Source organism: Homo sapiens, chromosome 1, assembly GCF_000001405.40.
Source record: "Homo sapiens chromosome 1, GRCh38.p14 Primary Assembly".
Lineage (NCBI taxonomy): Eukaryota > Metazoa > Chordata > Mammalia > Primates > Hominidae > Homo > Homo sapiens.
Window position 1 is genome coordinate 65,807,805 of NC_000001.11, and position 26,525 is coordinate 65,834,329.

Genomic DNA, 26,525 nt, shown 5'->3' on the forward strand with positions numbered 1-26,525 from the left:
GGCAGGGCAGCTGGAGTGGCCCCTTGGTTGGTGTCAGTAGAAGGTATCTGTCAGGAAAGGAGTAGTTACTGCTTTGGAGACCTGGAAGGTTTGGAGAACTCTGTGATTTAAGCCCTTTAGCCTTCATGGAGATCCTTTTTGTTACCTTCCCAAAGTAGCTGGATGCCTTTCAGGTTCCACAGTTATTGTTACTTTGACCATAGTGTCTGCGTGAATACAGAGCATCGACCTCTAGACTGTATAATCCTCATCTAGTCCCAGAGACAGGATGGCCTAGGGGCAATAAGTAGGTGAAGTGTAAGTAGGGCTTTGAGTCAGTGAGGATTAAAGGGAGTGTTGGGTCCATCAAGTAGGTAGACAAACACTTTTTTTTTTTTTTTTTTTTGAAGCAGACTCTTGATCTGATGCCCAGGCTGGAGTGAAGTAGTACAATTCTAGCTCACTATAACCTTCAACTCCTGGGCTCAAGTGACCCTCCTGCCTCAACCTCCCAAGTAGCTAGCACTACAGGCATGCACCACCACACCTGGCTAATTTAAAGAAATTGTAGAGACAGGGTCTTGCTACGTTGCCCAGGCTGGTCTTGAACTTCTGGTCTCAAGCAATTCTCCTGCCTCAGCTTCCCAAAGTGCTGAGATTACAGGCATGAGCCATTATCCTCAGCTGGAAGAGCATAAATGTTTGAAGGCAGACAGTATAAGGCATAGTGAGGGAATAGTAAGTCTAGACAATTTTCCACATAGGTGAGGAATGGGAGGACGTGTTTGAAAGGTGGGCTGAGATCACACTGTGAACTTTGAGCATATGAAAGTGAGTTTTAGGAGGGGGATCTTTATCTTAATGGCAGTGGGGGCCCTCTGAAATTTTTGGAATTCTGATGTGGTGGGACCTGACAAGTGTCATGTAGTAGGAAATTTAATAGCATTGGAAAGCATTGGAAATGAATGTGGGTAGTACAAAAGGTTTCTATGTGTATCCTGTACTTGGTAAAGGGTAGAACCTTTTCAGTTATGGCTGATTTGTGTTTAGAGGGACATATAATCAGTTGAATGCTTCTAGTACATGATTGTTGTTATTTTCTATTTCTCAGAAAAAGACAACTTAAGAGTAGCTCATTTTTTGGACACACAGATCAGGCTTTTACAATATGTTTAGGTTTTAACAGAATAACAGAAAGTGGAATTGTTTTTTGAACATGTTATGTGGTGTGTGGGTAGATATTTAGTCTTTAGAAATGCAAAATGGGCTGGGCGTGGTAGCTCATGCCTGTAATCCCAGCACTTTGGGATGCTGAGGCGGGTGGATCACTTGAGGTCAGGAGTTCGAAACCAGCCTGGTCAACATGATGAAACCCCGTCTCTACTAAAAATACAAAAATTAGCTGGGCATGGTGGCACGGGCCTGTAATCCCAGCTACTTGGGAGGCTTAAGCAGGAGAATTGTTTGAACCTGGGAGGCAGAGGTTGCAGTGAACTGAGATTGCACCACTGCAATCTAGCCTGGGTGACAGAGTGAGACTCCATCTCACAAAAAAAAAAAAAAAAAAAAAAAAAAAAAATTGCAAAACGAATTCAGAAGATGCATCAAAAACAACCTATAGAATTGCCATGAGATCGTCAGCTTTGCCAAATGACAGCAAACATATAATTTCAAATGGAAAATACACTCATTAAGCCATTTAGACTAGTGAAGTTATATGTGTTATATTTTATATTCCATTTGTATATGGACTCATTTTTCATATTGAAATATTAGCATAAATGAGGAGATCTAAACACTGCCTTCATTTGATTGGGAAATTATCTTAAGTACATGATATAGGATATTTAAAGAGGCTTTAGCATTCATAGCTTGGAATTGGATAGTTTATGGTTATTTTCTTATTTTTGTTGAAATTTAAACTGCACTTTCTGAAATAGCATTTATTATACTTTCAGATATCATCTGTCTTGACTAGGAAGTCAGTCACTGAATGAGTAATTTTGTTTCTGGTATTACTGCCTGACAAACTGATTTTCAGAGATGGTCATAAAAGCAGCATTAATGATCATTTTTAGAGATAGAATGACAAATATCTTGATAAATCATGCCTTGTGCTTAACTTATTTATGAATAGTTTCTGCTGTGGATCTTTTTGGTGCTCTTAAAATGCAGTTAAATTTGTAGTTCAAGAATTGAATTTTTATTCTTCCAGTAATTGCAGCCAAGGGCTGCACTCTCTTTCAGCCTAGATAAGCCACAGTGACATTCCTAGGCCAAAAGAAGGATGCTTGTTGAAAGCTGGTGGGCAGTGAAAAGGACAGGCAGTGTATAGCTTCCCTTTCAAATGCAGAAACAGGGCTTCTCCAAGGTGGAGTGTTGATAAATTATGGGATATTCCAAAAGTCCTTAGTCCACACTTTCTGCTCTAGCAAAGGTAATTTTTGCTATTTATTTTGACCTAAGTACCTTTATAAAGATTTTGTTTTTTCCTCTGGAGGAAGGTAACTAATATTTATTGAGCACTCACCATGTGCCAAGCATCTTAGGAAATGCTTTAAATGCAGTCTCATTTAATTCCTACTATTACCTTGTGATGAAAGCATTATTATACTAATTTTGAGGATGAAAACATTAAGCCTCAGCCAAGTAATTTGCTTAAGTTTATATAGCGAGGGCTGACTTGTTTTTTTTCTTTCACCAACCCAAAGTCTATACTTTTTCTAGTGCCTGCTTAAGACTCAGTATGTTAAAACTTTAAAAATATTTATTGAGAGTTTCAGTATGTTCCAGGTATATAACTTAGATATATTTATTTTCATTTTAAAGATGAAGAAATGGAGAGGTTCAGATTAATACTTTTTTCAGCATTACACAGAGCCAGGATTCAAACTTAGGTCTATCTGACTCCAAAGCCTATGCTCTTACCTACCACATTGACTTGTAAGACTTTTTCTTAAAGGGTTATATTTTAAAATTATTATTAATATTTACAATTATTTTCTATTTAATTCTTTTCTTAAGTACATAAATGCCATAAGTGCTACCCCCTTTTCATGCAAATATAGTGAGTTAATGTGGAGGATCTACTACTAAATGCCTTTAGGATTCTGCTAAACGCTTCGAATACGTTAGGGTTTCTCAACCCCAGTGCAATTGATACTTTGGGCCAGATGATTCCCTGTTTGGGAGACAGCCTGTCTCGTGCATTGCAGGGTGTTTAACAGCATCCCTGGCCTCTACCAACTAGATGCAAACAACACTCTCTTTTCCCCCTACCCAGTTGTGACAACCAAAAATGCTTCAGACATTATCAAATATCTTTTGTCAGAGAGGAAATCACCTGAAGTTGAAAACTAATGGTCTACATTATCTCATCTTATCCTTAGAACACCCCATGAGGCTCATATCATTATGATCTCAGCTTTACACAATAAGAATAACTTGCTCAGGGTCATATGCTGAGAAATAGTATCTTCAGGGCTCAAATTGAAGGCTTACCTATGACTTTGGACTAATTTTTGTTGTATTTCATGGACTACGTCTTGTCTTCAAACTTAACTTGAGCATCCTCAAGGCTTGGCTATGTCAGATTCTCCTTTTTCTTTTGCCCCAAGGGCACCTAGAAAAGTACTTAATACCCAGCTGTGCTTTGACAGATGTTCATTAAGCAAATGACCCATTTTATGTGGGTCATATTTAAATAAGCATATTTTAAATAAAATAGAGCTGAGTGCAGTAATTAAGAATCAGACACATCACAGGTTTACATCTCATTCCTGCCATTTATTAGTTATAGGATCATGGAAAAATTTTTGACCTATTTGATTTCCTCATTTGTTTGTGACTAATAATCCCTCCTGTGGATAATGTGAGGAGTGAGTTAACATATAAAGTCATCTAGCATAGTACAAGACACAAGGTTACAAAGTTAAGTACATGATAGCTACTAGTAATACAAATAATATTAATATTAATGATAGTAAGGTGGCTTGGATTTTCTCTTTATATTATGACATAATTTACATATACTTTTATTTCAATAAATTTAGAAAAAAATTTCTTGTCTGCCTAAGACAACTTGAAAGCTGCTGTTTCATTAACGTTAAATAAAAATTACATGAAATATAAAATATACAGAAGGTAAATGAGGAAATTAGGGGGAAAAAGTAAAGCCAAACAAACAAACCAAAAAAAACCCCAGGACCATTAAAAGACAAAATTAACATATTGTAGTACTGAGGTTTCAGTGAGGAATTAAGCTTAGTTCCTTTCATTTCACTAAAGAAGTTTTAACCCTTGTGGTGGCTCAAGGGCTAGGGCTTCTTTTGGCTTTGAGAGCAGATGAATTGACTCATCCCTGACCTCAGCCCTCAGCCTTCTGCTGATTTGGCATCTCTAGCTTCCTTCCCCGAGGTCTGACCTTTTGCCTCATTTCCTCTGACTCAATTTTGGGTTCTGTTCTTGGCTTTCAGTTTCTGCTCTGAGAGTTCCTTTTCTAAATTTCTGGGTCCTCTTGTAGGTTAGTTACTCACTTGTTTCAGTTTCTCTGCTGGTCTCCTTCTTAGGGTATGGCCCTCCATGCTCTGCCACACCTGGGTTGCATCAGCTGCTCAAAGGCAGCATTTCTCACCTGCTGCTGCTCTCCCTGATCCAGGGCCAACTTGGACAAATCCCTTCCAAATGTAATTGGCCATAATCATGTAGGTTTTAACTATAGGTTGGTGGCATTAAATTTCCAAGACAGTAAAATGTCAGGGTGGAAATTCATTGTTTTTAGATACTGGAGGGACTTTCTGTGTTTTAAATGCCTCTCAATTATTTTTTTCATCCATTGGCACACTTTGGAATGTTAATATTTGTAGTAAATACTGAACTACATAGATAATGCTGTTTGTGGTTCTAGGAATTACATGCCTATCCTAGGGACTGAGGGGACGACTGTCTCAGCCTCCTATATGATATTATGTATAGAAATGCACTGGTTGAGAAGCTCTATTCTAAAGTCTCCATGAAAACACAAATAGATAGCACTGGGCAGGGGTTGGGAGAGAGTATAACACCTTAAACAATTATTCTCTAGCTTCTTTATTTCTATTTGCCTGTCAACTGCTTTCTAAGGGTCCTAGACAGCCCTGGAAAAGTTGCCCCAGGAATACAAAACCTTAAGAATGAAGATAAGGACACTAAAGTTTCTGTAGGGGCTGGAGAGGGAATACCTAAATCTATTCTAAGACATGTTGGGAGATACTAAAACTGGAACGAGATTGGGAACAGGCAGAGAGTTAGGAGGCTACCGAGGGAGTTCAGGAATGAGGTATTGAGGGTTTGGTTTATTAGCTGCTCACCTGTAGAGGAGTGAGTCACTTATTTAAATTCATACAGAAAATATGTAAGCATATATGGTGGGTTGGTTGTTAATACTTTGTCAAATGCATGCCACTTAACTAATCGTGGGAGGTCACTATAATTACCATTTAGATGTGAGAGGTATACGGAGGGAGAAAGAAGTCAACAGTAATATGCAAGTTACTATTTTAATTAATTGGGGGAATTGAATTGCCATTCACTAAAGAAAGACTAAGAAAAAGATACAGTTTTGCTGGGGGAAATGGCATGTTGAGTTTTGAACGTGCAAGTTTGAGATATTTTTGCCATATAAAATAATACCTATCTGAAAAGTATTTGGAAGGTGGTCTGGAACTCTCAGGAAAAAGCCAGATCAGAGTAAACAGATTTTAGAAGTGAACAATATAGAGATCTATACATTTTCATTGTGGGCCCTGGAAATCATATTCAAAATAGTATGAAAAATGTGTGCCAGTGTAGTTTTTCTGAGGAGGGGGTCCTCTATAGTTTCAAAGAATCACTGCTACAGATAGATGAGATAGGTAAATTAAGACCTTAATGGCAAATGGGTAGAAATTATGATTTTTAAAGTAAAAGAGGAAAATGAATCAAGGATAACTTCAGGGTATTTTTTTCTTTGGCAGCAGTGCAAGAGTAGGAGAAGAAATTGGTTTGTGAAGCTATGGGGTTAGAAATACTGAATTTGAATTAGAATGTAGCTTTGAAAAATAATGTGTCCAATAGGCAGTAGGCACTGCGGCAAAAAAAAAAAAAAAAAAAACAACAGTTGAGAGATCTGGAATATAGATTTGTTTGTCTTCAGTGTTATGCTGATAATAGAAGCCCTGAGTGTATGTGAGCTTTAAGCCAATTATTAGACTAAAAAGAGAACAGTGAAGAAGTCCAAGTTTTGAGCTTTGGGTATTACCCAGAGTCGAGAGCCAGGTGAACAGAAGGGCTGGGGCACTCTGGGCACTTGACAGAAAATTCAGTCGTGAATTGACTACAGCACATTGCTTGCCAAAGCCTTGCCCGAGGCAGCTGCTGGTTGATGGAAACAGCTCAGGGTGTGTGTCAGCACTCTTCCTCTAGCTGGCTGGACTGGTAGTCTTCAAATCCTTTTGCTCCCTCATCCTTATAACAATATTTAAGTCACATCATCTTATTATATGTACATATGTTTAGATGCTGTAGAGAATATGTGAAAACAGAAATTTATGAAGATGAAATACATTGATAAAAGATGAATGTAATATATATATTCTTATAACCAATGGATTATTTTGTGCACCTTCTGTAATGCTTTTTTTTAAAAGAAACTTTATTGAGATACTGCTTAAGTACAATAAGTTAAACTCATTTAAAAGGCTACAATTTAGTGACTATTGACAAATGTGTTCAATTATGAAAACACCACAATCAAGATATTTCCATTACTCTCGAAAGTTTCCTGGTGCCTCCTTGCTGTCCATTCCTCTCTCTAACCCATCCTTTGGCAAACACTGATCTGCTTTCTTTCACTGTGAATTAGTTTTAGTTGTTATAATTTTATATAAATAGAATCATATAGTATCTGCTTTTTTTTGTTTCTGTCACTCAAAGGATGCTTTTTTTCTTATTGCTGTATGGGATATAGCAAAATGTCTTTATACATTTACCTGTTGATTGTCATTTAGGTTGTTCCCAGGTGTAAACTATTACAAAAATACCAGCTACAAATTTTTTTTTGTATAAGTTTTTGCATGGATATATGTTTTTATTTGTCTTGAGTAAATACCTAGTTATGGAAAAGCTTGATTTTTCTAGGTAATTAGAAAGTGCTTGGCTATGCAAAAATTATTGCATTTCCCAGCAAAAGTGTGTTCATTAATTCTTCATTCAACACACATTTTATTTATTTATTTATTTATTTATTTATTTATTTATTTATTTATTATTATTATACTTTAAGTTTTACGGTACACGTGCACAATGTGCAGGTTAGTTACATATGTATACATGTGCCATGCTGGTGCGCTGCACCCACTAACTCGTCATCTAGCATTAGGTAATCTCCCAGTGCCATCCCTCCCCCCTCCCCCCCACCCTCAACACACATTTTTAAGCAAGCATAACTTGTGCTTTAAGAGCCAACATAAATATTACATCTCTGCTTTTGAAGAAATTTAATTTAAGATATATAAATTTGGAAGCCATATAGATGATTAAGTTGGTGTTTCAAGTCACGAGACAACACAATTATTTATCAAATGGTAGTTCAGTTTGGGAATAGAAATTGAGTACTGTTGGCTCTGTAAGTGAGAAAAAATACAACCAAAATTAAAAATTAAACTGAGAATAAATGCAACATGGTATCCTGGATTGGATGCTGGAATGGTAAAAGGACCTTAGTGGAAAAATGGCTGAAGTGTGTATGGAAACTCTGTACTATCTTTACAACTTTTCTGTAAATTTAAAATGATTTGAAAATAAAAAAGTTTATTTTTAAAAAAAGGTTCATTGAGAAACCAATTGTAAAATTAGGAGTTTCTGTTCAATAAAATTTGTCCTGAAGCTAAAAAAATTTAAACTGAACTAAACATTTGATCATATATGACAAAGATACATTCTTATTAAATAAAATGCACTTATCAGTCAATAATAACAATCCTACTCTCTTCAAAGAATATTGGACAAAGTATATAAAAGCAATCAGTAAAAGGATTCATACATATTGCTATATAAGGAAGGAACCATATTCACCTGCCTCAAGTTTTTACATAAAAGGACTTCAGCTACAGTACCTTGTTCCGTTTCCTCATTTCTGACTCCATCCTAAGCTAACTGATCTTAATAATTGGTGAGAAAAAAATAACAACTGCTTGGCTCGGCTCTTTCTCAATTTTCTCTTTTCCTATAGATGCACCTCAGCTGCTTGTGTTTCAGTTTTAGAAGAATCTTGGAAGGTCCAAGTGTTATCAAAAGTCAAGTATTCTTTTCTGATCAGCCTAAACATTAAGAAAGCTATTTTTTAAAATCAGTGTGATTCCTGTTTCTGTTTTTAGTGATTATTAATGCAGTGTGTGTGTGTGTGTGTGTGTGTGTGTGTGTGTGTATGAGAGAGAGAGAGATAGAGAGATTTGGTTTTGGGGTGGGGTGGTGAGTACAATTAATTATCTCAACCCTTGACAGCTAATAAACGCTTGAAGATATATTAATTCTCCATAGTAACCAAATAAGTGCAACTTAAAGCAAGGTTGCTGCTACCGAATTGATAATTCATAAAAGGTTTCAGAAGGAAAAATAGCCAGTTTTGAAGAATTTTTAGTGAAAGGACCTTTAAACTGTGAGTAGAAATATAAATTGGTACAATTTTCCCCAAAGGCAAATTGGCAATTTGTATCAATAACCATAAAATGGTTCATACTCAATTTTGATTTTATGATAAAATCTATGGAAGCAATCACAGATTTCATCACAAAGATTTATAAACAAGGATGTTAGTCAAGCACTATTTATAATGGACAAAGAAAGCAAAACAGCCTTATTATCTAATATGGGGATATTATGCTACTTACTATTAAAGCCATGAAAATCATTTTTTGAAGAGTATTTGTTGATTTGGGAAAATTAATATGATACAGTATAAATTAGATAAAAACAAGATACAATACTATATGTGTGTTTTAATTCGAATTTTGTAAGCAGCTTCTATGTAATAAGTTTTGTAAAAAGCATTTTTATAAAATTATAATTTTGAAAAATAATTTTGTAACAAAGCCAACACAAATACATTCATAAACATATTTGTAAAAAAGTATTATTAAGTGAGATGATTCTTGTGCTCCAGACTTGTAGCTGAGGTTCAAAACTGTGAACAAAGTTTACTATGTACTGCACAGAAATGGTAATTTTTGGGGGTGCACAATGTTTGTGAGGAGTGGGCCCAATTAAAAGGGTGTCCTCATGATGCCTGCCTGCCACACAGGAGGCATCTAAAGCCAGTGTGAAATTGTTAAGCAGAGAACCAAGAGCCAGGAAAATAATCATAAGAGGGTGACAATCTCTCCCAGTTAAGTTAGGAGAGATTTATTCGTTTTCTCTTCCCTGTCTTTGGTGGAGTTAGCCTTTAAGAGAAAAGAGGCAGTATGTAAGGGTGCTGCTTCTTGCATTCAGAACCTTGTTGACAGGGAACCCAAGTGTAGCTTTCATTGGTGGCAGGGTAATGGAAGAGCTTTAAATTTAAGGTTGAAGATTGAAATTTGAAAATGAAAGGACTGAGCCTTAAGTATCAAAGCAAGACTCTTCTGTAACTCTAAATTTACATGTACATGTCAGTACATACATGGCTTGCTGATGGGGTCCCAACTCACTGCTGTGTACACATGAAGTGGTTTTTATTTATTTATTTTTACTGTCGCAGGTCAAACTCTAGTCCCTCCCTTTATTATTGCAACTCTTATTGATGTGTTGACCAGACTCTATATCTAAATTCGTTGTTTGGTTTTTATAGGATTGTGTATGTATTTTGTACATCATGAATGAATGAAAAGAGCTAGAAGCATACGCCCTAAAAATTGAAGATTAATTAATGATCTTTTAGTCATAGATTTATCCATTTTGTTTGCATCTTTAGACTTCCTTGTATTTTCAAAAACAATTATGTATAATAATTTATAATCTCACAAAAATATATATTTCAAAAATGTCTTCTGTAAAATTATAATTGAAGATGATATTCATTGTGTTACTTGATTTACATATTTTACAAGGACACACACATTATTTTTATTCTTAAAAAATTAACACCTCAGGAAAATGTTTCTTCAGATAAACTTGTAAAATTTCTTTTATCAGATACAAATATAGGGCCTCTTCTGCTCTAGTTGTCAAAAAAAAAGCTAAATTCATTGCTCAGCTGTCACTGTTATTGATTTTGCCCTCATCATGTCTAATTTAGAATCCTTCAGCAGCCTTCTAATTATTCCCTGCTCTAACCTCTTCCACCCTCAACAATGCCTTCCAAGGGATATTTCTAGCCTGCAAATCTAGCTATAGTTATTTCCACACTTAAAATTCTTCAGCCACTTTCTATGTCACAAAACCAAACTATGGGCCTGGCACTCTAAGCTTTTCCTGCTCAGGACTCTGCCTAAATGTCTTTTCTTGTGTATTGTTCTTTTCCTGTTTGCATTCTATTCTTCAACCTTATTAAATTACTTGTAATTTTCCTAGAGAGCTGTGATCTTTTCATGCTTTTGCTCTATTTCTTGTGTTCTTTTCTCTTCCATCCTCCTTCTTCCTATTGTCCCTGTCTCTGGAGAAAATTTTTTCTTTTCCTTTAATGGGCTCCCTTTTACCTGGCAGAGTAATCTATTCCTTTCTTGTGTTCCCAGCGTCACATGTACAGAACTGTAATTCTTCATTTTCTTGTGTGTGTCTTCTGTATAAATATTAGGAGATTCTCAAAGGCCAGAACCACGCCTTTCTCAATTAGCTAAGGGCTTATTATACAATGAATGTTTAATACATACATATATATATATGCATACATATATATTCACACACACACACATATATATATATATATATAAAATAACAAAAATCTTCAAATACATTGCCTTTTAAAATCCATGCAACAAACTCAGGAGGCAGATGTTATTATACAGGTAAAGAAATGGAAGCTTAGAGATATTATATTTATTGCGTTGTTATTTGCTTAATACCTGTCTCTTCCACTGGACCATAAGCTCAACAAAGTCAGGGATAGTATTAGTCAAGGATAAGCTAGCATAGGTTGCAATAATAAAACACCCCCAAATTTCAGTGGCTTCTTAAAAACCCCAACATAGTTTGTTTCTCACTCATACTGCATGCCCATTGTGAGTGTGGTGCTCTTCTGCCACACTTAGATTTTACTCTGGGATCAGTCTAACAAAACAGCTGCTACCTTGAACATTGCCAATTGCCATAGCAGAAGGAGAAGGGATGTGGAACCACACAAGGGCTTTTGAACTTCTGCCCATGTTTCATTGGCCAAAGCAAGCCACATGACCTGTCCTAAATACAACAGGATGGGTATATATAATCCACCTAGAGGGATGGCACCACAGAGAAAAATGAAATATATGGCAGACAAAATAATCTATCATAGATAACCCAACTGTTTTGTCCACGATTACATATCCAATACCCTATGCCTGATTCATTGTAGGTCTCAGTATATGGTGATTGCATGATTGAATGTCAGAAGGCTTGTAGGAGTGCCGGAACTGTTATTTGATTAGTCTAACTCCAGAGACCAGTCTGAATGACTTTGCTATTTATATAACTTGGTCTCAGATATTTACGAATATCCATTCTCTGCTTATTCTCTTGTTTGTTTTTGTTTTGTTTTTTTTTTTTTTTGAGACAGAGTCTCGCTCTGTCGCCCAGGCTGGAGTACAGTGGCGCGATCTCGGCTCACTGCAAGCTCCGCCTCCCGGGTTCACGCTATTCTCCTGCCTTAGCCTTGAGTAGCTGGGACTATAGGCGCCCGCCACCGCGGCGGGCTATTTTTTTGTATTTTTAGCAGAGACGGGGTTTCACCGTGTTAGCCAGGATGGTCTCGATCTCCTGACCTCATGATCCGCCTGCCTCGGCCTCCCAAAGTGCTGAGTCACCGCGCCTGGCATATTCTCTTGTTTTTGCTTTGTTTATAATTGTTCTGTAAAGGGCATGAAATTAGTTGCTGTGACTGTAAAAGAATTACAGAAGGAATGACCGCAGAGGTAGAAGGATTCCACCAATGTATAGCTCCAGAGAAATCATGTTACGAATTCACAAGGAAAAGAATAAGAGACAGTATCAACAGAGCAAGAGATTGATTAGACAAAAAGACTACGATTTGGTTGGAAAAGGTCTTTGCTGTCAGATATTTCAGGGGAGTTATGGGGGCAACTAAGTGAAGGTTTTCAGATTTAATCAAACTAAAAGATAGAAGTAATAGCAACAGTATATATCTTTCAGAGCATTCTGAGACTGAAATTGGGAATGGAGGTGTGGTTGAGATCCCATATTGAAGGAATACAGAGATTTTCTCTTTGCAATTGAAATATTCAAGTGGGCTCATTCTCCATTTTCTTAGAAATAGAGAAGGAAAGAACTTTAAAAATTGAAGAATGGATTTTATCTCTGAATAACCACATTAATCTCATTGAATGACAAATCAATCTGAACAATTCACTATGGAAAAAAGAACTTCAAATATTGTAGGTTAGATAGGCACTTTTTGCAATTCTAATAATCTTGTTTTATGGTTAAAATAAAATATGAAATTATAAAGATTAATTGAAGTATTGCTTTCTCACTAATGAGATTAGATTGTCTGTGGTCAGAAATGTGTGTTAGTACAAGAGATTTAGTAGGGGTGAGATGAATTTCCTGAAGAGGAATTCTAGAGGCAGAGTAAGAGCATATGTTTTAAGTAAGATGTATCTTAGCCCTTTAAAAAATTACTTTACCACCTTAAATTTAGGTTTTAATTCAGTCTGTAGTCCTTAATAGCAGTGAGTCAATGGGAAAATTAATCCCTTGGGTTCTTCCTTTCTTCATCTACAAAGTAGAGATATGGTATTTACATTGACATTTTATTTAATAAATAATAATGCATGGAAGTATTGACAATCAATGGTAGCTCCAAAGATAGACAATTAGAAATAATTACAGAAATAATTACTCAGCCATCCACTTTCACTCCTAGGAAAGAGCAGGAAAAGTGAGATTAGATGGACAGAATTTGATCAACTCTGGTTTACTTTTTGACACATTGAAATCTCTGTAAGGTAAGTCAGGCTTAACAGTGCTGCATGGTGGGCCCCAGCCCAGGAAATTATTTTTCCTTAGAGCCTCAGAATTCATTTAGCTACTTGGAATTTTAATAAAGAATTTTACCAACCCTGGCCATAATTTACAAACTCTGTGGCTTGCCTGAATCCACTGAGGAGAGATGAGTACATTGCATGAGACAGGGCACTCTGTCTCTAATGATGACTCCAGCTGACCACAGCTTGGTCAGGCACAGTGGAATGCAGCTTATTCTGCCCCTAGAAAGGTTAAAGTGGTTGCGTCATTTATAAACTGTCAGTCTTTTTTATTCTTGCTTAAGGTTGCAGGAGAGTAATTGCCATAGCAACAGTTATCCCTTCCAATGCTGTTAAGTACAAGGGTGCCCCTTGGTAGAATGATTGGAGATTCAGGAAGTTCTAATCCTGTTATGATTTATTCAATATTTCTTTGATTTTGAAACTATTTAACAAGTTCTTTGCACATTTTCCTGGAAAGTAGCATAGATTCTGTATAATAGCTCTTAGGGCTAGAAGCTGTCTCCTAAAGAAGTCTACTTTCTCCAGTCCTGGTCTTCCTACATATAGAAGTTCTCTATTTCATGAAAACTAAAAAAAACCTGCTTTATCCAGTTACTTGTGTCTTAAATCTATTTTGTCTATACTTCTCCCTAATCTACTTCTCTTTCTGACTTCTCATTTTAGATAATGGTACTAACTTCTCTTTCTACAAACAGAAACTCAGAATTGAGTGTCATTTTATACTCATTCTGCAATCTAAAATTGATCTGCCAATTTTGCCTATTTAGTGCAGTTGTTCTCATTCCTGGCATGCATAAGAATCAACTGTAGAGTCTTTAAAAAATGTCACCCTTAAAACTTATCCCTGGATATGCTGGGATATGAATGTCCATCTTTTGTATTGTGAAAATTTCAGAGATATTGAAAAGTACAATATAAAATAGAAAAATAAGGTATAAATATAGCAAAACAACTGTTTAGCTCCAACTTAGCTCAGAAAAACAGAACGTTACCAACATAGCTGATGCATCCTATGTATTGCTGGTCTAGCATTTCCTTCTTCCTCCCTTCAAGGGTAATTTCTACTCTCAATATTGTATTTATTTTTCCCTTAGATTTCCTTATAGGTATGTGTCTTCCTGAGCAGTAGCTGGTTAAATTTTGTTTGATTTTTATGTAAATGCCATACTGTGTGTAATCTATGACCTGCCTTTTTTATTCTCTATTATAGTTTTAATATTTATTCATGCTGATGCCTGCACCTGTGGCCCACTTATTTAGTGTAGTACTCCACTAATGACTATAGCTCAATTAATTAATCTTCTCTCCCGTGAATGGATATTAAGATTGTTTTCGGTGATTTTTTTTGGCCAGGTGCACATCTTTAGTGCATATATCTAGGAGTGAAATTGCTGTCTTAAACTTTACATTTACATTTTCAACTTTGCAAAATGATGCCTTTTTTTCCCCAAAGTGGTTGTATCAATTTACTCCAACAGTCATGTATGAGAATTTGTGGTGCTTCATATCTCTGTCTTTACTTGTTACTGCCTGCTATGGTTTGAATGTATGTGTCCCTCCAAAATTTGCATGTTAGAACTTAAACCCCAAACGTGGCAGTACTAAGAGGTGAGACTTTCTGGAGGTAATTTGGTCATGAGGGCTCTGCCGTCATGAATGAGATTAATGCCTTATAAAAGGGCTGGAGGGACCTAGCTAGGTCCTTTTTCCCTTCCGCTGCTTCTACCACATGAGGACACAGCATTTGACCCTTCTGGAGGACATGGCAAGCAACAGGTACTATCTTGGAAACAGAGAGATCCAACCCTCACCAGACACTGAACCTGCCAGTGTCTTGATCTTGGACTTCCCAATCTCCAAAACTGTGAGAAATTAATTTCTATTATTGATAATTTGCTCAGTCTGTGATATTTTGTTATAGCAGCAGAAACATACTAAGACACTGCTCAAGATTTTTTTTCCAATTTTATACTAGACGTTGTAAAGTGGTATCGCATACTGATTTTAATTTCCATTTTCCTGATAATTAATGAGGCTGAGCTTCTTTTCTTATTTATATCTGCCATTCTTGCTTCCTCTTCTGAAAAATTCTTATTCTTCTCTCCTGTTGTTCATCTGCATTTTAAAAAATTCTGGACAGGCTGGGCACAGTGGCTCGTGCCTATAGTCCCAGCACTTTGGGAGGCCGAGGCGGATGGATCGCAAGGTCAGGAGTTCGAGACCAGCCTGGCCAACATGGTGAAACCCCGTCTCTACTAAAAATACAAAAATTTGCTGGGTGTGGTGGTGTGTGTCTGTAATCCCAGCTACTCAGGAGGCTGAGGCATGAGAATTGCTTGAACCCAGGAGGCAGAAGTTGCAGTGAGCCAAGATCGCACCATTGTACTACAGCCTGGCCGACAGAGTGAGACTCCATCTCTAAAAAAAAAAAAAAAAAAAAAAAAAAATTCTGGAGAGGTAATTCTGAAGAGCAGCCAAGGTTGAGAGTGACTGTCTTTATGTCTTACTTCTGTCCCTTCCTTATTGTTTCCACTGCGCCTGCACTGGTTCAGGCCCTTGCCATGTTATAACGTCTCATCTGTTTGCAGTACTCTTTTTACTGGTCTCTGAGCATCCAGTCTCCCCACTATCAATTCATCTGACCATTTTCTTCTCCCTGGACCCTAGTTCTGACTGATCATCTAACTCCCTTGTTCAGAATATTGGTGACTTCCACTTGCCTGCAAGTAACATCTGAACGTCTTATATGCCTCTTTGATGAATACCTACCTACATCTCTAATGTTGCTTCCCTCTAGTTTCATCATCTACACTTTCTTTCTGCAGATTCTAATATCTTGTTATGTCAATATGAACACTATAGTTTCTTCCTTCCATGCCTGGCCACCCATGAGCTCCACTGCTTATCTGCTATGTACCCCTTAAAAATGAAAGCAATCATCCATTCTCTGTCTTCTAAACTATTGCAACATGTAATTGTTTATATTTCCCTTGTTCTCTTGACCACTTTCTACCTGGTGTTATAGTTGTCTTTGCCAGGTAGCAAATCCAGGAAGTTATAATCCTTCATTCTCACCCCCCATCTCAGTGCATTTTATATACTAGGGGATAGCAATTGTTTTGTGAATGAATAAAATCATGCAATGGAAATAGAACCCAAGTCTCAGGATTGTCTTTTTTTATTTTTATTTTTTGTAAAATCAATCAATTCCTCAAGGTCAATAACTGAGTCTTCTCAGGCTGGTGTGTTCTTTTTCCTAGGGTATCTTTCACATACTTAGTGTGAAGATAAAAGGAGACCATTGGCTTCATTGTTTAAGCAAACATATTTAATATTGCACAATCAACTAACTGTACCCTTAAGACCATAGATACATTAAAAAAATTCTTAGTGATGAAAAACAGTAATATTTTAGTGTGAGTATGCTTAAAGAAAATAGTTTAAATATTTTAGGAATTAAATCTGGTGAATAAAATGAACTAGGCAATACTACTTTTCATAAAAAATATTGACAGTGCTCTGTATGCAAAAATATTAGAGGATTGATTATGTGGAAATATAAAGGAATAAGACTGAATTTCTTATGTGACTTATAAATTACCCCTAAAGTAATTTATATATGAATACTTCACCTACATATATATATACACATATATATTTATATATATACAAATATATACATACATATATATATATACACACAATTCATAAACCAATAAATTCTCTGATGTGCATATTTGACAACCATTGCTGGCATTTTACAATTTCATTTACAGCAAGCCCTTCTTGGTAGTTTCTTTGTGTGATTGATGCTGAATACAGCTTTGTTGCTGCCTCCTCAGGTCTGAGTTGGTGTGCAGGCAATAAGGAGGTCCAGCTTTCTGAAGCCCAGTTGAATCAGGCTCTCTAGTGATGCTACAGATCATCAGAATGGTTCATTTGGGTGATAACAAAGTTACATTAAACACAATCTATCTCTCATAATGATGGCAGAAGAATGTGGGTGTTTTCTTTCATGAAATCCCCCAGTACCATTTGGATCAGTAGCAGACATGATTAACTGGTGACCCCAAAGCATTTCTTATTCCTTACCTCTTTTATCTCTTTTCCCCTTCCATTAGAATTTGAAAAGCCAGATACATACATGTGACCCTGTTCTGGCCAAAGAAACTTAAGTTTCTGAGAAAGATAATTTGCTTCCCAAGGAAAGGGGTGTATGAAGAGAGGTCATTGACATTGCTCTTCCCCACCTCCCCTTTTTCAATTGTGGACATTGTTGTGATGATATTATACCTGGAACTGTAGTGGTCAGTCTATAACTACAAGGGCAAAACCCTAAAACAATGAGGTGGTGGAACACAAGGATGGAAAGAGACTGGTTCATGATGACCCTGTTTAGCAAAGGAATGAACCCTGGAAATACTTTCCTCCATACATATGCATAAGTAAACAATAAATGCTTTTTTGTTTGCTGCTCATGGATTTTCTATTACTTGAAGCTAGATACATCCTAATCGATAGAATCACATGTTGAAAGAGTCTACTATCCATAATTATCTCAATAATCTGTTTGAAAACATCTATTGGGGCCAGGTGCAGTGGCTCACACCTGTAATCCCAGCATTTTGGGAGGCTGAGGCAAGCAGTTCGCTTGAGCTCTGAAGTTCAAGACCAGCCTAGGCAACATGGACAAACCCCATCTCTAAAAAAAAATTAAAAACAAAATTACCTATCTATCTATCTATCTATCTATCTATCTATCTATCTATCTATCTATCTATCTCAACATTCTCTTGGTGAGTTTTCTGTTATCTGTCCTGAAATGAGCTTCAAGAATCTCCTTTAGTTTTCCTTTCCTGAGATTTTTTTTTTCTTTAAAAACAACTTCTTACTCATCTTCCTTATATGCTACATCCTTCTGGTACTGGCTGTGAATACTTTTACAGTGATGGTTTTATCATCTTTATGGCAATCTGACTCATATTTAAATTTCATCATATTTTGCATCTGGACTAACATAAGATATTCTGTATTCAACGACATGGAAGACTTGCCTGATTTACTGAGAAATTGCTAATTTTGTCCCTTTAGGGAGTTTTAACAAACTCTTCACCTACAGGATAGTTTTCCTTTCCAAAGTTCACATTTCATAGGAATTCATGAAACTTATTGGAAAAGCTGGCTTATGGGAACTAGGTGTATCCATAAATCCTCTTGATACTTCTTGCAAAATAATATTAGTAGTCTAAGTTGTTATTTTTCTGTCCCTGCCTCCTAAGTTACTGATCATTGGACTTAAAGCATAGATATTTAATAAATATGGGACTTTTTATTCTAGGGAAGAAGTTGCATATAAGCTGCTAATATTCAGGTAGAATTTTTTAAAAATTTGCTGAGGCTGAGTGTGGCCTAGCATGGTAGTGAAGTCCCTGGGACCATAATATTTAATAATAGAGGGCTTCATATATTTTACAGACTTTTTCCTCCTGAGGTCCCACCAGGTACTCAGAGTTACTTTGAGGGAAGATTAGAATGAATCCTAAGAAAACTGCCCTTGTTCTCTATAGTGCTAGCTGGGGGAAGGAATAGTAGCCACTCTGAGATTGCCCACACCTACCTCCCTAATCTTCATATGGACAAATGCCTTAATCTGCAGGAGGAAGAGTAACTAAAATTGTAGCCTGAGAGAACTGGTGCAAATCCACTGCGTCTTGGGGAAAAAAACAGGAAAAATAAAAATGTTCTACTCTGGGAAGGGGCAGGAATGTAGGTTTTGTCCAGCAATACTTCCGGAGGAGAAGGAACACTTAGGAAAATTACACCCCCTATTGTGACCCAGGTTCACAATGCCTGATTAAGAATGAAGCTGAATCAGAATATTAGATGCTTTCCACACTCTTTAGCCCTACCCCACCATGTACATCAAATAAAAATAATTGTGACATACAACTGGGAAAGCTCCAACAAGGAGTTTCTCTTTTGAGAGAGGTGCAAAGGGATAGCCCAAAGCAAAGAAGGAAGGCTTCTGAAAAATTACTGCATACATTAAGCACAGGGTATCACTAGAGAAATTTGAATTCTGAAATTCACTGCGTGTAATCATAGCAACTGCAAACATCAAAAACAGCCCAACACCTGATTAGATTAACACAACCCCCTTCCCTACGCTAAACATTTAGCAGAACAAAAGGCTCACTCATCGTCAAGCATTAAAAAACATTTACTTCCATATCTACTGTCAAATTTTTTGTTGAAAGCTGGCTTTCAACAAAAAATTACAAGGAATACAAAAATGCAAAAAAAAGTCATTTGAAAAGACACAAATCAGAGCCCGTCTCAGATATGACATAGATATTGGAACTATCAGAAAGGAAATTTAAAATAACTGATTAGCATGTTAAAAACTCTATTGGAAAAGTTAGACAACATGTAATGGCAGATAGATAATTTTAGCTGAGAAATGAAAACTGTAAGAAGCAAAGGAAAATGCTATTAAAAAAACCCCACAGTAACAAAAATAAAGAATACCTTCAACTGACTCACTAGTGGACTTACATAGTTGGGGAAAGAATCACTGAATTTGGAGGTAGGTGAATGGAAATTTCCCAAAATAAAACTCAAAGAGAAAATAGATTTGAGAAAACCGAAGAAGATCAGAGCATCCAAGAGCTGAGACATTATCAAACAGCCTATTCTACATCTAACTGGAATCCTAGGAGGAGAAAAAAGAGAAAACTAGTCAGAAAAAAATATTTGAAGAAATAATGGCTGAGAATTTCCCAAAATTTGGTAAAACGACACCAAATTATAGATCCAAAAGCTGGAAGAACATCAAGCAAGATAAATGCCAAAACCTCACACTTCAACATATAATGTTTTTAAAAGTTGAAAACCAAATACAAAGGGAAAGTATTGAAAGCAGGCAAAGGAAAAAAGTCATATTATCTGCAGAAGAATAAGAATTATAGCAGGCTCCTCATCAGAAAACATGCAAGCCAGAAGACACTGAAGTGACGTATTTAAAGTGCAAAGAAAAAAATTGTCAAGCCAGAATTCTATATTTTTCCTAAGTGGAAAGAAAATTAAACGCCTTCTCAGAAAAATAAAAACTGAGAGAATTAATGGCTATCAAATCGAATCTAGGAGGAATGTAAAGGAATCTCTTCAAGTCAGAAGGAATGTCATATAGATCAAAAAATGGATCTACACAACGAAATGAGGAACATCAGTAATGGAATAAGTAAAAGTATAATAAAATATTTTCATTGTTATTATTATTATAATTCTGAAACAGAGTCTTACTCTGTTGCCCAGGTTGGAGTGCAGTGGCGTGATCATGGCTCACTGCAACCTCTGCCTCCCGGTTTCAAGCCATTCTCCTGCCTCAGTCTCTCGAGTAGCTGGGATTCCAGGTTTGCGCCACCATGCCTGTCTAATTTTTGTATTTTTAGTAGAGACAGGGTTTCACCATGTTGGCCAGGCTGGTCTTGAACTCCTGACCTCAAATGATCCGTCTGCCTTGGCCTCTGAAAGTGCTGGGATTACAGGGGTGAGCCACTGCACCTGGTCTCCTTATTTTTATTCCTCTAAAGGATAGCTGACTGTTTAAAGCAAAATTGTAAAAATATATATTGTTTTTGTAACATATAATCAAGTGAAATTTATGACAAAAATGATACAAGAGATGGGAGGGAGGAATTAGGAATCTACTGGTTTAAGGTCCTTATACTACACATGAAGTGATGTAATATTATTTAAAGGTTGACTTATTTTGTTAAAATATGTAATTATAACCCCTAGGAAAATCACTTAAAAAGTTTAAAAAAGTTATAATTAATAAGTCAATTTAGGAAATAAAATGGAATAATAAAAATGTTCAGTTCAGCTCAGAGATGGCAGAAAAGGAGGAAAAAAGAGACAATGAGTAAATTAAACAAATAGACGACAGCTAGCAAGATGGAATATATAAACTCAACCAGATTAATAATAACTTTAAACATGAATGGTCTAAGCATGCCAGTTAAATGTCAGAGATTTTCAGATAGGATAAAATAACAAGATCCATCTGTATGCAATGTACGAACAACAACAACAAAACACTTTAAATATAAAGAATTATATAAGTTAAATGTAAGAGGATATGGAAAGATATACCATGACAATGCTAACTGAAAGAATTATGGATAACTATATTAACTTTAAACAAAGCAGACTTCAGAATAAGAAATATTATCAGAGACAAACAGAGGCATTGCCTAATAATAATGGAGCAAATTATCCAAGAAGATATAATCCTGAATGTGTATGCTTGTGATGTGACCTCAAATACATGCAGCAAAACTACCAGATTTGAAAGAGATAGAAACAAATTTACAATTATAATTACAAACTTCAACACTCCTTTCTTATTGACAAAACAAGAAGGCAAAAATCGTTAAGGATATAGATGGCCTAAACCATGCTATAAAAATTATGTATTTGACCTTTATAGAGCACTCCAATCAACAAAAACATAATTTTTATTTTTCTCCAGTGAACACTGAACATTCACAAAGATAGACTATATTCTGGGCCATAAAACAAACTTTAATTAATTTAACAGAATAGAAGTTATACTAAGTTGGTTCTTGGATAAGAATAAAGCTAAACTAGAAATCAATAACAAAAAGATCTATTGAAAATCCTTCAATATTTGAAAATGAAAAAATACTCTTCTAAATAAACTCAGGGTTTAACTAAGAAGTCTCAAGGATAATTTAAAACAAAACGAAACAAAGCAAAAAGCATCTGGTACAGATAACCAAGGGGAGGAGAAAAGCTAGAATGAACCATGTTGTATTAGGTTATAGTCAGAGATGTTGGTACGATCTCATGTTTAGCTTAATATAAATGTAAATGGAGAGATACAAAAATAATTATAGCTAAATGTGTAAATTAGCTCTTTCTGTTAAGAACTAGAGTCAGTGACACTTCAGTGGCAATGAGCATACAGAGAGGTTTCTAAACACAGTTCTTCTAAAAGGAACAAGGGACTCTTAAGACATGGCCAGTTCTAGGGCTGGACAGGAAAATACAAGATGTGCTTGAAATATCTAGTAGTGTCAGAAAATAAATAAGTGCTCAGAAACAAGTTTACAGAAGCCAAGCTGAAAAATGCTTCCCATGGCCAAAATTGGAACAATTTGAGCAAGAAAATAAATTATGTGGCACTGGGCTACAACACAAGTATAAAATAAATACACGTGCATCTACATTGATATAAACAAATGATTGAAAAATAAATAAATTGAAGGAGACCAACCTTTCTTACAGAAATATTACATAATCTATGAAATATTGTCTCCTCTAGGGGGTCAAGCTTAACTCTCTCTGCCTTGAGTGTGGACTGTACTTTGTGTCTTGCTTCCAAATAATTGAATCTGCAAAAGGAAATAAAGTCGCTTCACAGTGGAGAACTCTCATAAACACTGACTTGCCTAGGTGACCAAGGTTAACATCACCAGTGATGAGTCATGTTGATAGCAAGTAACCTCTGATAAAATGAGATGAGAAGCACACTTCAACTCTGTGGCCTTCTTCTCCAAAACACCTAGCCACATTTGAATGAGAAAACCACCAGACAAAACCAAATTGAGCAACATTCTACAAAATACATGAAAGCTACTCCCCAAATCTGTAGAGGTCATCAAAAGCAAAGAAAGAGTGAGAAGCTCTCCCAGACAACAGAAGAGCATGGTAAGGAGACATGACATTTCAGTGCAATGTGATCCTGGAATAGAGAACAGGACACTAGTGGACATACTAGTGAAATTTGAGTTATGTCTGGAGCTTAGTTAATAGTAATGTATGAATATTAGTTTCCTAGTTTTGAAAAATGTATTATGTTTATAGAATGTGATAACAATAGAGAAAACTAGGTGATGGGTACAAAATAATTCTCTGAATTATCCTTGCAGCTTTTCTGTCAGCCTAAATTTACTCTAAAAATTGTTAAAAATAATTTGAACTAAAGGAAAATGCAACATATCAAAATTTGTGGGATGCTACTAAAGCAATGCTGAGGTACATTTTTAGTGCCAAATGCCTCTATTGAAATGAAGAATGAGCCAAATTCAGTAACCCAAGCTTACACCTTGAGAAATTAGAGAAAGAAGCTTAGAGAAAGAAGAACAAGTTAAAAACAAAGCAAGCAGAAGGAAATAAATAATAAAGATTAGAGCAGAGGTTAATGAAACTGAAAACATAAATTCAATAGACAAAATTAATGAAACCAAAAGCTGACTCTTTTAAAGGATCAATATAATTGGTAAACCTCTTGCAAGGCTGATTAAGAAAAACTGACACACATTCCTAATAGCAGAAATGAAAGAGGGGACATGACTAGTGAATTCACAAACATTGATAGAATAGTAAGGAGACCTTATAACCAATTGTATGCCCATAAATTCAGCAGCTTTGAGGGACTGGATCCATTTATTGCAAGATAAAAACTATCAAAAAGAATATTAGAAAACTTGCTAGTTCTATGGCTATTAAGTAAATTGAATTTTTAGTTTAAAACCTGCTAAAGGAAACTCTAGGCTCAGTTTATTTCACTGGCAAATTCTATGAAACATTTAGGATAAAATAGTCCCAGTTCTTCACAATCTCTTCCAGAAAATAGAAGAGGAGGTAGCACTTTCCAACTCATTTTATGAAGCCAGCATTTTATGAAGCCAGTCAAAGATGCTATAAGAAAAATAAACTCTAGATGGATATCTCCCAGGAACATAAACATAAGATTCCTCAATAAAATATTAGCAAATCAAATTCAGCAATATGTAAGTGTGAGACTCACCCCACTGATGAATATCTAGAGCTAAATGAAAGCAAAAATGTCTTCATTCATTCAGCTATTTTAAAAAATTAAACACACATTTATTCAGTATTTACTGTATGTTAGAACATATATCGGGCTCTGGGGGTATCACTTAAACAATGACAGGAAGAAGAACTTCTGTTGTGACCCCTGGAGAAAGAGATCAGTCATAACCATTGGTGAATTCCTTTTAGGAGACACAAAAATGACAAGACGTATGCATGCCATCTTCTTGAGATTCCACTATATTGCTGTGAATTTGATGTTGCTTATGAAATCTTTGGACTCCTAATGATAGGTGTAAGATTGAAAGAAATAATCACAATGTCTAGACAAATTTTTATGAAGATTCTGAGGTAGGAGGTAAAACTTAAGGCTTTGGAAGCATATAGGAACACATTCAGTGTTTCCATTGCAGGATGAAACTTTAGAAGACAGAAGATCTGGAAGTTGAACAGCTGCTGTCTGTAAACTTGAATAAGGACTGAAATAACTTTTGGCTAAAGATAAAAAAAATGATATGCCTGCAAGAAATGTATTTAATTGGCATCTAGGTAACTTGGTCGAGAGTGATTTAAATTAAATGTGGAAATGAAGAGAGGATTTGGTCCAGATAAACATATGACTCTAATTTCTATGTGTCGAGCACAGAGCGGGAAGGCAAGACTGAGAGTTTTTGTGGCATCCAGTGAACCACTGTGGCATTCAGTGATTCAGTTCCTAAGAAAACAATTAGGAAAAGGCCCAGGAATGCTAGTGGTAATTCAGATACCAATTCAAAGATCATAGGAAATATGGAAAGTACATTGAGATTATAACTTGGGAAAGTATAATTGGTCTTATATGTATCACTGAGTCCTGGTAGGATAGAAGTCAACTTTGGAAATGGTGGAAAGGTATGTCTTCTGACAAGTTCAATCAGTGGTTTTCAATAGGAAATAAAGAGTGAGGGTCGTGAGCATCAGAGTTTCATGTGGAATTTTAAAAGATCTGACTGAGTATATTGCTCATTAAAGTTATTAGGTGGGTATAAATAGTATAGCAAATGATTAGAAGATTATAATAGTCATTAGTGTTGCTCAATAATATTTTGAGTTCTACTCTTGAGCTCAGGGAATATAGCCCTTCTGTGCCTCTTCTTTAAAGTTAATGTGACTTTCTATGATGAATGAAAGTGAGCAAAGTGAACAATGTTATCAGGATTTGGAGCACATTTGCATGAGTGAGAAATAAATGATTGCTGTATTAAACCATTTAGATTTAAGGATGATTTGTTACCATTGCATAATCTAGCCCATCTTCATTGATACAAAGATGTATGTCATTGTAAAAATTTATAGATTGGTGACAATATATAATAGATGATTACAGAAGTGGATTTCAACCAAGTTTTAACTATAAAAATGTTTTCTCGAATACAAGCTTACAGAGATTCCCAGTATATAAAGAGATAAATTATGCAACCGCTTTGTTAGAAGCAAAGCTGCACTGGTCTCTAGCCAGCCTTTCCACTTCTCCCCTCACCAGACTTTAAGGCGTCTGAGGTCCTTGTGCCCAATTTGTAGAACCTCTAAAGCATAACAAAACACAGTTGAAAAACCATAGCTATAGGAAGATAGATTTTTAGCTCAATAAAAGGAAGTACTTTCAGTCAGAAATGTCCAAAGATAGAATTGGCTACTAAAGTAGTGAGCTGCTGTCACAGGAAGTGTTAAAGCACCGATTGGTTATACTAGGCAGATGTAGTGATAGAAGGTATTCTGTCATTGGCTGACCACTTCTAGCATCAGAGGTTTTGATTCTTAGGCCTCTTCCAATGGATAACCTCTTCTATTATTCTTTATCTCTTTCTCCGCCTTATTTTTCTTCATTAACATTATCACTTGTTTATGTTATATAAAAATTCATCTATCTGTCTAGCTAGCAGTGTACTGAACAAATTATTAAATTTTCAGAAATTTTTTGAGTCAGTTGTTAAGCACAGACATTGTTAAAAATCAAATTATTTAAACTTACAATTAAATTATATCAAAAACTAGGTAATGACACTCAAAATGCATCACTTTCTAATTACTTGGCTACATTTTGCTGTTACCTGTGCTCTTGAGCTTATTTATATCTATCATGTCTGTATGGTGGATATATTATATAATGATGTGCTATATAATAGTGTGCTATGACACTGAGTTTCTTTAAGCAAGTTTCTTTCTTTCGTTCTCTGTTTTTTTGAGATGGAGTCTCACTCTGTCACCCAGGCTGAAGTGCAGTGGTATAATCTCAGCTCACTGCAACCTCCGCCTCCCGGGTTTAAGTGATTCTCCTGCCTCAGCCTCCAGAGTAGCTGGGATTACAGGTGTCTGCCGTCATGCCCAGCTAATTTTTATATTTTTAGTAGAGATGGGTTTTGCCATGTTGGCCAGGCTGATCTTGAACTCCTGACCTCATGTGGTCCACCTGCCTTGGCCTCCCAAAGTGCTGGGATTACAGGCGCCTGG

The 26,525-nt window shown here is 36.0% G+C and overlaps 1 protein-coding gene across 3 annotated transcripts in view, besides 1 other annotated feature; it reads left to right on the forward strand.

Moving 5' to 3' along the window:
• The window catches only part of PDE4B (phosphodiesterase 4B), a 582,070-nt gene that overhangs the window by 15,295 nt on the left and 540,250 nt on the right, over positions 1-26,525 (forward strand). The window lies entirely within an intron of this gene.
• Positions 4,368-4,597: an enhancer, noted in NCBI's record as "active region_1145". NCBI's record gives its function as "activates an Ori minimal core promoter by ATAC-STARR-seq in GM12878 lymphoblastoid cells {active_cell/tissue: GM12878}" and the evidence as "EXISTENCE:reporter gene assay evidence [ECO:0000049][PMID:35858748]".